Source organism: Homo sapiens, chromosome 1, assembly GCF_000001405.40.
Source record: "Homo sapiens chromosome 1, GRCh38.p14 Primary Assembly".
In the NCBI taxonomy this organism is placed as follows: domain Eukaryota; kingdom Metazoa; phylum Chordata; class Mammalia; order Primates; family Hominidae; genus Homo; species Homo sapiens.
In genome coordinates this window covers 28,529,383-28,540,685 of record NC_000001.11, presented here as the reverse complement: position 1 = coordinate 28,540,685, position 11,303 = coordinate 28,529,383, and the positions used below count along the sequence as shown (strand labels likewise).

Genomic DNA, 11,303 nt, shown 5'->3' with positions numbered 1-11,303 from the left:
CTCGCTTCTTCACCCAGGCTGGAGTGCAATGGCGCGATTTCAGTTCACTGCAACCTCCGCCTCCTGGGTTCAAGCGATTCTCCTGCCTTAGCCTCCCCAGTAGCTGGGATTACAGGCACGTGCCACCACGCCTGGCTAGTTTTTTAATTTTTAGTAGAGATGGGGTTTCACCATGTTGGCCAGGCTGGTCTCAAACTCCTGACCTCAAGTGATCCACCTACTTTGACCTCCCAAAGTGCTGGAATTACAGGCGTGAGCCACCGTGCTTGGCCTCAGTAAGCATTTCTAGAGATGGTACTGTGTTAAAAAATCTTGGTTTGGCCAGGCACAGTGGCTCATGCCTATTGTACCAGCACTTTGGGAGGTCAAGGCATGTGGATCACGAGGTTAAGAGATCCAGACCATCCTGGCCAACATGGTGAAACCCCGTCTCTACTAAAAATACAAAAATTAGCTGGCCATGGTGGCGCACGCCTGTAATCCCAGCTACTCGGGATTACTGAGGCAGGAGAATCACTTGAGCCTGGGAAGCGGAGGTTGCAGTGAGCTGAGATCACACCACTGCACTCCAGCCTGGGTAACAAGAGCGAAACTCAGTCTCTAAATAAATAAATTGCTGGGTGCGGTGGCTCATGCCTGTAATCTCAGCACTTTGGGAGGCTGAGGTGGGCGGATCAGGAGGTCAGGAGTTGGAGACCAGTCTGGCCAACATAGTGAAACCCCGTCTCTACTAAAAATACAAAAAAATTAGCCAGGCATGGTGGCACGCGCCTGTAGTCCCAGCTACTCGGGAGACTGAGGCAGGAGAATCGCTTGAACTTGGGAGGCGGAGGTTGCAGTGAGCCGAGATCATGCCACTGCACTCCAGCCTGGGCAACAGAGCGAGACTCCGCCTCAATAAATAAATAAATAATTTTAGAAATTAGCTGGGCTCGGTGGTGTGTGCCTGTAATTCCAGCTACTTCAGACGCTGAAGCAGAAGAATCACTTGAACCCGGGAGGTGGAGGTTGCAGCGAGCCGAGATCACACCATTGCACTCCAGCCTGGGCAAAGAAAGCGACTGTCTCAAAAAAAAAAAAAAAAAAATCGGCCAGGCGCGGTGGCTCACGCCTATAATCCCAGCACTTTGGGAGGCCGAGGCGGGCAGATCATCTGCGGTCAGGTGTTCGGGACCAGCCTGACCAACGGGGCAAGACCCTGTCTCTACTAAAAACACAAAAAAATTTAGCCAGGCATGGTGATGCATGCCTGTAATCCCAGCTACTTGGGAGGCTGAGGCAGAAGAATTGCTTGAACCTGGGAGGCGGAGGATACAGTGAGCCAAGATTGCGCCATTGCACTCTAGCCTGGGCCACGAGAAAAACTCTGTCTCAAAAAAAAAAAATTTTTTTTGGTTTGGTATTAAAAGATCCACCCTGCCTCTATTGTACTATGCAGCATTTAAAAATAATCCAGTGACTCCCAAAACAGAAATACCCAAACAAAATTCAAACAAAACTTTTCCTTACTTCTTGACAGATTTGAAGCCTTTGTTACAGTCACACTGACAGCTGGTTGGCACCTCAGGACATCTTGACATCACTTAAGTTGTAGCCTCAACACCAGGTTTATAGTTTATTCTGTCTTTCCCAGCAGTGCCTGGCACATAATATGTGCTCCCTTAAAAAGCAGGGAATGTGTAGAAAACAAGTGGCCTATTTTATAAAACTCTAAATTTATTCAAAATGTTAAAAGATTTTGTTCTCCCTCCAAAATATTTTACAATTAAAAAAATCAAAACTATATCCTATTTTCTCAGCCACTGTACAAGTTGCTGTTTCCATCTCAGGACTAGTCTCTGGCCCTCCAACACTCTGTCCCTCCCTCAATCCCCCACCTCCTTTCAATATTGCTGTTAAGTTTGTTTATAAAACCCTCCACCCTCTCTCCCCACCCCATACCCTGCTCTGCTCTGCCCAGAGTGGTGTCTCTTTGCGATTCCAGGCCGTTGGCTGCAGGTGAAGCCGAATGGATGGGTACGATGTACACAAGCAACACCTGAGGGGCAAGAGTATGCTTTGTGCTTCTGGGAGAATCACTTTTTTCTTGGTCAAGTGGAGGATCGTTCTTTTTTGTCCCATGGACACCTGTTCTGAGCCAAATATTTGGCTTATAGTTGCCCACAGCCATGTAGCTCTGCTTTTTTCTGCACGTTCCTCTGGGCGTGGGTCCGTGACAGATGGCTCTTATGACTGTACCATTTGTTTGCCTGTGGACTGTTAGGGACAGGAAAGGGGCACATGACTAGAATGGGGCTTGATGGAGCCCCAACTTCTCAGAGAGTGGGCACAAAACCCCAGGGGGGAAGTTTTGGTTTTCTAGTAGGCAAAGCCAGGGCCAACCAGGACCATGGAAGGTAGGGAAAAGGGGAGAAACGTCTAACCATATAGCTCTGAGTGAGCCATGTTCCTTTTGAAAACCCCCTGTCCATCCCCCCCTTTATTCTGTAGGTCCCAGGAAAATTCCAAAGAGGAGGAAGGAAAAGAGGAAAAGGATTCTGTTCTGCTGATGAGAAAAGGCAGGAACTGACACAGTGCTCAGGGCTGGGGAGAGGCCCGCTGCCATCTGCAGCTGTCACTGCTTCCCTGTTCTGTGAGGGAGGTTGTGCAGGACAGAAGCCAGGCCCTCAGAGGCTTCATCAGCTCTGTTCTTTGTCCTTGACTAATAAGACTGTATGCTGGCCCCCGCTGGACACAGATAAGACCACACGGTTCTCCAGCTGTTTGCCCATCATCTCCACAGGGCTCCAGGCGTCCTCATCCTGCCCTGTGCCCAGCTGGTAGTTGGTGCCCATGCCCCAGGCGAAAACACGACCTGCAAGAGAGAGAAATGGGTACAGCTGTCTCCAGGATCCCCAGCCCACCTTTCTGTAGCAGGAGAAACCTGGGACATGGGCGTGGACTGTGGCCTTGGCCAATAGCAGCTTGGCAAGGTACCAGACTCTGGGAGTTCAGGGAAGTTGGGAGAACCCAAGGAGATGATGGATAAAAAAGAACTCTGTAAACCAGAGAGCACAGTCCCTACACACTGCCAAAGGCTGCTCCTAGGCGTGGCATTCAAGGTCCTACCCCACCCTCTGTTCCCAGGACCAGCCACCTTTGAGACTGCCCTGATGTTCCTCTGCCTGGAATGGCATTCTTTGCTTTTCACAAGGAATGGAACCTTCAAGGTACAGTGCAAGCCCCACTTCCTGAGGAAGTCTTCCCAGATAACCTCAGGTCAAGCACCTCTGCCAGCTCCAGGCTTCTACAGGACCTCCATGGCTATCCCCCTCACCCACTCAGGCTTTGGTGGTCACTTGTTCACACCCTCCTCTGCTATAGTTGCTACAACTCTGACTACTAAGCCTTTTTTTTTCTTGATTTAGATTCTAAGTAAAAGTCCCTGGAAAGCGGGAACATACAAGGTGATATATGAAGGGGTCACCCTGAGGGGAGAGAGCAGCCTGGGTTAGGAGTCTGGAGACTTGGGTTCCAGTCCCATTGCCTCCTTAGGCCTCAGTGATATCTCACTCTTTGCTATTTCTCTCCTCTGCATAATAAGTCACCTTTACTAAAATAATTTGTGTACTCATTTCATATTCATCAATGCCAGAGCTTCTGAGAAGCAGGAACAAAGTGCCATCACAAACACTGCTCTCTGTACCTCGGCTCCCCCGAGAGTGGACATCACAGCCTATTGGGGAATTGGGTAAGAACCATGACCCCCAGGTCCCAACTAGACAGAGTGTAGGCAGCCCCACTCACCATCCTTGGTCACAGCATACCCCACAGAGGCCCCACAAGCCACCGAGGAGACAGCAGGCAGCCTGGAGATGAGGGTGGGTATGCTCTTCTCCTCAGCACCCTCTCCAAGGCCCAGCCGCCCATACTCAGCCCGGCCCAGGCTGTATGCTTTTCCTATGGGAGGAGGGAGAGAGATGAGCAATAGCAGAGGGCGTGCTACAGGCAAAATGGGTGGCAGGCTAGGTGAGTCCACCTGTCCATGGGAGTGTGTCCCTGCTCCCAGAGCGATCAGAAGGAGATCTGCAGTGTCTCTTCCCAGTTTTGGAGGAGGCCTAGGAGAATCTACATGGGCCCCCATTGAACTCACACTTGGAAGAACACCAGGACTCTAGGAGGATGAGAGTGACTCTCATGGACCCATGTATGGTACAACCCATGGAACAGACCCAGGCTCCAAGGACCATGGTCTCAGGAATCTGGCTAGGCCTAGGCCAGGGAACACTCCACCCCCAAACTAGAGAAGGACGTAAAGGCCCTACCTTCCGAATCCATGCAGACTGTATGGTGCTGGCCACCAGAGAAGCCCACCCAGGACTTGGTGGAATTCTTGAAGGATGTTAGGTTCTGGGGTATGAAGCAAGATTCTGTGCCCGGAGTTCCTGGGGGAAAGGCCGGAGCCATCAGGGGTGAAGGTGTTCTGAGAGCTGCCCTTCTCAATCTCCTCCCACAGTGAGGCCACCTCCCATCAGGATATGGACATTCTCACTTTACAGATGACAAAACTGGCTTGGAGGGGTTAGACGACCCCGCAAAGGATGCACAATGAATGAGTGGCAGAGCCAGGACAGGAACGCAGGCCACTGGGTCATGCCTGAAGCTGGGCTCGGGGCTCACCAAGCTGATGGTAGTTGGAGAGGCCGAAGCCGTACACGTGGCCCTCATGGGAGATGGCAAAGGTGAAATAGGCACCACAAAAGGCATCCTGGAATCTCACGTGGCCCCGGCTTCCCCTGGATTTCAGCATCACACACTTGGGGACCAGGAGTCGTTCTGCAGGCAAAGGGAAAGCCACGGTCAGTGACAGACAGACACACATGGCTTCTCTCTGCCCCGAGTTTAATTCTCCTCCATTATAAAAGCCCTTGAGAGGCTAAGTAGGGACTCTTATCCCTATTTTATAGAAAAGGAAACTGAGATCAAGAGAATACAAGTGCCTTGCTCAGATTCCCACAGTCATTACGGGTATCATTTACGTGGAACTTACCATCTGCCTGATATTCTTCTCATTAACTCATTTAACTTCACAGCAACCTAATGAAGTAGGTTTACAGGTAGGTAGACTTAGTGATGAAGAAACTATGTTCAGAGTCCCATAGACAGTAGGTGGCAAAACTACCAGAGCAGTCTGTCTCCAAAGTCCTAACCAACACCACAAGCCCATCTGATGCAAGCCTGACCACAGCAAATCCTTCCTGCCTTTGGCCTTCACTGTGGGGGTGGCCTGCCAATTTGCCCTGCTGGAGGTACCAAGGCCACTTACCGAGGCCTTGCCGGCCACCACGGTTGGCAAATAACTCAGGCACACGGCCTAGCTGGCCCTGTTCCCCGCAGCCCAAGGTGTAGAGGTCACCATCAGCTGTCAGCATCACCAAGTGGTCGTTTCCTAAGGATGAAAAGGTAAGGGATGCAGGCCACAACTGTAAGGCCCAAGGCTAGGCCAGCCCCAGAACAAGGTCCTCCAACTCCTGCCCTGAGCAAGTGCCCCCAGACCCACCTGAGGCCACCTTTACCACAGGCACATCCAGCTGCACCTGCACAGGCACCATGCTCTTCTTCATGGGCTCCAACAGTCCAATCACACCGTTATTGTCCTAGAAGGGAGGGACAGGGCACTTATCAGCCAGTCCTGCCTGCCCCGTGCCAGTGAAATCCAGAAGGGCAGTGGCACCAGATGGGGATGGAGAAGTGGGCAGGAGCCAGGCCACATACTCAAATACTTATGAATGAAATCATTTATGGTCTGCGACTTGCATTAAAATAATCAAGGAGTCAGAGAGCGGATGCAAATAGAGATAAACAAGTCTGGCCACAAGCTGATAATCATTGAAACTGTGTGGCAAGTAAATGGGCACTCAATATACTATTCTGGGCCAGGCATGGTAATTCATGCCAGTAATCCTAGCACTTTGGTAGGCCCAGGTGGGCAGATCGCTTGAGCTCAGGACCAGCTTGGGCAACACGGTGAAACCCCGTCCCTACAAAAAATACAAAAATTAGCTGGGCGTGGTGGCACAAGCCTCTAGTACCAGCTACTTGCGAGGCTGAGGTGGAAGAAATCACCTGAGCCCAGGAAGTTGAGGCTGTAATGAGCTAAGACGATGCCATTGCACTCTGGCCTGGGTGACAGAGCAGGATCTCGTCTCTAATTAAAAAAGAAAAGAGGCCGGGCGCGGTGGCTCATGCCTGTAATCCCAGCACTTTGGGAGGCCAAGGCGGGCGATCACGAGGTCAGGAGATCGAGACCATTCCGGCTAACACGGTGAAATGCCGTCTCTACCAAAAAATACAAAAAATTAGCCGGGCGTTGTAGCGGGCGCCTGTAGTCCCAGCTACTCGGGAGACAGAGGCAGGAGAATGGCGTGAATCAGGGAGGCAGAGCTTGCAGTGAGCCGAGATCGCGCCACTGCACTCCAGCCTGGGCGACAAAGCGAGACTCCGTCTCAAAACAAAGAAAAAAGAAAAGAGGCCAGACGTGGCGGCTCAAGCCTGCAATCCAGCACTCTGGGAGGCCCAGACGGGCGGATCACCTGAGATCAGAAATTCACAACCAGCCTGGCCAACATGGTGAAACCCCGTCTCTACTAAAAATACAAAAATTAACCAGGTGTGGTGGCGCATGCCTGTAATCCCAGCTACTCGGGAGGCTGAGGAAGGAGAATTGCTTGAGCCCGAGAGGCAGAGGTTGCACTGAGCCGAGATTGTGTCATTGCACTCCAACCTGGGTGATAGAGCAAGACTCTGTCTCAAAAAAAAAAAAAAAAAAAAAAAAAAAAAAAAAAAAAAAAAAAAAAAAAAGAAAAGAAAAGAAAAGAAAAAAATATAATTCTGATATTCTGATTACTTCCTTTTTTTTTTTTTTTTTTTTTTTTTGAGACAGAGTTTCGCTCTTGTTGCCCAGGCTGGAGTGCAATGGCGCGATCTCGGCTCACTGCAACCTCCGCCTCCCAGGTTCAAACAATTCTCCTGCCTCAGCCTCCCGAGTAGCTGGGATTACAGGCATGCACCACCATGTCCAGCTAATTTTGTAATTTTAATAGAGACAGGGTTTCTCCATGTTGGTCAGGCCGGTCTCGAACTCCCGACCCCTCAGGTGATCAGCCTGCTTCGGCCTCCCAAAGTGCTGGGATTACAAGCATGAGCTACTGCGCCCGGACTTCTTTTTTTTTTTTTGAGATGGAGTCTCGCTCTGTCCCCTAGGCTGGAGTGCAGTGGCGCGATCTTGGCTCACTGCAAGCTCCGCCTCCCGGGTTCAAGCCATTCTCCTGCCTCAGCCTCCCGAGTAGCTGGGACTACAGGCACCCGCCACCACGCTTGGCTAATTTTTTGTATTTTTAGTAGAGACGGGGTTTCACCATGTTAGCCAGTATGGTCTCGATCTCCTGACGTCGTGATCTGCCCATCTTGGCATCCCAAAGTGCTGGGATTACAGGCATGAGCCACCGCGCCCAGCCCAATTCTGATTACTTTCATGTGTTTGAAATTCTCCATGAAAATTTCAAAATAGATGTGATAAGGAAACACCCATCAGGCCGGGTGTGGTGGCCCACGCCTGTAATCCTAGCACTTTGGGAGGCTGAGGCGGGTGGATCACCTGGGGTCGGGAGTTCGAGACCAGCCTGACCAACAGGGGAAACCCCGTCTCTACTAAAAATACAAAATTAGCCAGGCGTGGTGGCGCATGCCTGTAATCCCAGCTACTTGGGAGGCTGAGGCAGGAGAATCACTTAAACTTGGGAGGCAGAGGTTGCAGTGAGCCAAGATTGCGCTATTGCACTCCAGCCTGGGCAACAAGAGTGAAACTCCATCTCAAAACAATACAAAAACAACAACAACAACAACAACAAAAACCCACAATCTGTTTTTTCAACTACACTCCTCTGTACCTTGGAAACTCTGAGATGCGACAATCCCTGCCTCCACACCTCCTTGCCCCATCCAAGCCTCTGGGAAGTGTGGAAGAGGCAGTGCTGGCAAGGTGAGGGGGAGACAGAAGTCAGGGAGATGGGTGAAGACAGCAGGCCTCCTGGATCAGCCTCAACCCAGGGACATCCTTGACCCACTCACTTCCCAGGACAGACACTTGATGACATCGGATTCAAGGAAGCAGCCAGTGGCGTGGACAGGCCCACATGAGGAAGCTAGAGTCCTGGGTCTGGGCCTCAGCTCTACCTGTGGGCTTTCATCTCCCCACCAGTAAGTACCATGGGGGCATGGAAGTGGATTATCTTTGGGGCCCCGCCAATTAATTCTGTCTTTCAGGGACCATGCAGACTTTCAGACCCAGCCTTACCCGGAAGGAGCCCCAGAGGAAGACACGGCCATCATCGGTGAGGGCTGCTGTGTGACTGTCTCCTGCTGACACCTGTACCACCTTCTCTTGCAGCTCCACTTTCCCAGGGACCATCTCCGAGCCCTCCACTGATGTGTCCCTTCCCAGGGCACCCTCATCATTGCAGCCGAAGGAATAGACCTGTGCCCAGGATGCCCTCATTAATGCAACGTCTGGCCTCGCAGTCCATTCTCATGTAGGCCACTCCCCACTTGACTAGCCAGCTCCATTTCCACAGTGAACATGCGTGGTTCAAAAGCCCTGCCCCAAGCCACCCAACCCCAGGCCTTGTCCAACCCTGTGCCAGTCCCCAACACCTACCTGGCCACTTTTGCTTAGACACACGGTGTGCATGCCCCCAGCCTCAGCCTGCACAACATCCTCCGGAATGGATACCAGGGCCGGCTTCTTCCTCTCCATCACATTCTCACCCAGCCCCAGCTGGCCCACGTCGCCCTGGCCTAGTGTCAGCACCAAGCCGGGTTCTGTGCTGTGGGACCTGTGTGAGACTGAAGGGTGAAGAAGATAGACCCTGAGTGTAGAGGATGACGACAGCGAGGAGAGGTCACAGGCTCTGGGATCAGACAAACCTGTGCAGAAGCCCCTGCTCTGCCACAGACTGTTAGTATGAACTTTCTAAGTTTTGTCATCTGTGAAATGGGGACAACAAAAGTACCTCTCTCACAGGATTTTTGTGGAGATTAAGAACTGAGCACATTATTCACGTGAAAGGGGAGAAAGGGAAACAAGGAGACACTGGATACTGTGAAATGAATCTTGGTGGAGAGGGCAAGAAGGGCTGGGTGCGGTGGCTCACACCTGTAATCCTAGCACTGTGGGAGGCCAAGGCGGGCGGATCACTTGAGGTCAGGAGTTAAGAGACCAGCCTTGCCAACAGTAGCCTGTAATCTCAGCTACTCAGGAGGCTGAGGCAGGAGAATCACTTGAACCTGGGAGGCGGAGGTGGCAGTGAGCCAAGATCGTGCCACTGCCGCCTCCAGTCTGGGCGACAGAGTGATACTTGATCTCAAAAAAAAAAAAAAAAAGAAAAAGAAAAGAAAGCTAATTATTGTTATTGTTATTTTGAGACGGAGTCTCCCTTTGTCGCCAGTCTGGAGTGCAGTGGTGGATCTTGGCTAATTGCAACCTCTGCCTCCCGGGTTCAAGCGATTCCTCTGCCTCAGCCTCCTGAGTAGCTGGGACTACAGGCGCGCGCCACCGCGCAAGGCTAATTTTTTGTATTTTAGTAGAGACGGGGTTTCACCGTGTTAGCCAGGATGGTCTCGATCTTCTGACAGGCGTGAGCCACCTTGCCCCGCAGAAAGCTAATTATAATAGCAGAATCTGCACCGAAAGCAAGGGAGACTACGTGGGTCAGAGAACAATCCCCAGTCTCCATCCAAGCCCTCCTCCATGCCCAAGCCGTCCGCCAGTGAATAAGTTCAGCTCCCGGGCAAATCCACTGCAGAAACGGACTCTTCCCTCCACCATCCAGTGGAGAGGCAGGAGGGGCGGGAGGAAGAGCGGACAGCGGCATTTGCGGGAGGTGCGCGCCCGGGGCTCTCTGTGGGCCAAAGGCGGCCCCCCAACCCGCAGCCCCGGGCAGCCAATGGCGCCCAGCCCCTCCCCCGAGGATGTGGCCACCGCTGAGGAGCCCGCGCTGGCAGCACAGAGGGCGCCCCGGGCGCGGAGCCACCTGGTCGGGTTTTCTGGTCAGGAGGGCTCGGCCCGCAGGCACCTTGGCAGGAGCGGGCGCCAGGAACGCGGCGGGAGGCAGCGGCCCTCGTGTCTGCAAAAGACAGACACTGTCTGAGCGTGGGTCCACACTTCCCCTCCCAGTTTGGTGCTGGCTTTTCTCTCCTCCCTGTCCCCCTCCGGGGTCCCAGGACAGAGGAAACCACAGCCACCTCCCTCAAATGCTGCCAGGCCATTATCTCATCTCATCCTCACACAGCCCAGAGAGGGTGACGCTGCTCTGGCTGCCGCCATTTTAAGAAGTTGATAATCCAAACTGCGGGATTAAGTGACTTGCCCAGCAGCTAGAAAGTGGCAGAGCAAGGACTTGAACCCATGTCGGAAAGTCAGTGGTCCTAACCATAATGCATCACTGCCTGGGGTGAAGCCCTAGGGTCTAGTTTTTTTTTTTTTTTTTTTGTGCCAGTGCTGCCTGAGTGCTTTGAGAGGAGTTTCTGCCCACTTTGTGATTCCCAGAGGGTAGGATTCAATGAGCTACAGGAAACCTTCCAGCTGGGTGGGGTCTCTGCACATCCACACCCTTCAGCTTCAAGCCTCAGGAAGAAAGGAGCCCAGTCCCGGGTTCTTAGGGTTTCAAGGGGCCACCTGTACCCACAAAGAGGCCAAGGCCAACTTACCCTTCACCTTCTTGCTTTTGGGGATGGCATCTGCTGGGGGGGACCTTCTTTTAGCTATGCGCTTGGGTGACATCTTCCTGTCCTGAAAGTCAGTCAAATACTACATATGAGAAATGGCAAACATTTTCCTGGGCCAATCAGACAATATTTATCAAACACTCTAGAAATACGTTAAGAGGAATTGCCCAACAATTCCACTTCTCAAAATGTATCCCAAGAACAGAATAATGGATGCACCCACAGATTAATTACACAAATATTCTCTACTGTATCCTTCATAACATTTTAAAAACAACAAAAACAGAACCCGAATGTTCAATAGTAGTGAACTAAATATGTGGTATATTCATGATAGAACAGTATGAAGCCATCAAAAGTGATGTTTTCAGAGATCAATCTATTGAATAGAAAGATGTTCCCCATTGCCAAGTAAAACAAGCAGAATGAAAAACAGACGGCCAGGTGTGGTGGCTCACATCTGTAATCCCAACACTGTGGGAGGCCGGGGCGGGCGGATTACCTGAGATCAGGAGTTCCAAACCAGCCTGGCCAACATG

The 11,303-nt window shown here is 51.8% G+C and overlaps 1 protein-coding gene across 6 annotated transcripts in view, besides 1 other annotated feature; it reads right to left on the bottom strand.

Moving 5' to 3' along the window:
- Positions 648 to 1,148: an enhancer, noted in NCBI's record as "H3K4me1 hESC enhancer chr1:28866050-28866550 (GRCh37/hg19 assembly coordinates)". NCBI's record gives its function as "activates a minimal SCP1, AML or CMV promoter by ChIP-STARR-seq in naive H9 embryonic stem cells {active_cell/tissue: H9 hESC(naive)}" and the evidence as "EXISTENCE:reporter gene assay evidence [ECO:0000049][PMID:30033119]".
- The window catches only part of RCC1 (regulator of chromosome condensation 1), a 32,947-nt gene continuing 23,340 nt past the window's right edge, over positions 1,697 to 11,303 (bottom strand). For 4 of the 6 annotated variants that reach the window (NM_001381865.2, NM_001048199.3, NM_001381866.2 and 1 more), the window contains 9 exons: positions 10,747 to 10,828; positions 8,696 to 8,883; positions 8,336 to 8,515; positions 5,540 to 5,636; positions 5,306 to 5,428; positions 4,660 to 4,815; positions 4,305 to 4,424; positions 3,787 to 3,939; positions 1,697 to 2,854 (listed from right to left, as the gene is read on the bottom strand). In NM_001381865.2, the coding sequence (NP_001368794.1) occupies positions 2,679 to 2,854; positions 3,787 to 3,939; positions 4,305 to 4,424; positions 4,660 to 4,815; positions 5,306 to 5,428; positions 5,540 to 5,636; positions 8,336 to 8,515; positions 8,696 to 8,883; positions 10,747 to 10,819 (1,266 nt within the window). In that variant the 5' untranslated portion in view covers positions 10,820 to 10,828 and the 3' untranslated portion in view covers positions 1,697 to 2,678. Of the gene's footprint in view, positions 2,855 to 3,786; positions 3,940 to 4,304; positions 4,425 to 4,659; positions 4,816 to 5,305; positions 5,429 to 5,539; positions 5,637 to 8,335; positions 8,516 to 8,695; positions 8,884 to 10,070; positions 10,164 to 10,746; positions 10,829 to 11,303 lie in introns of all 6 variants that reach the window. The other 2 variants (NM_001048194.4, NM_001048195.4) reach the window with 2 other exon arrangements.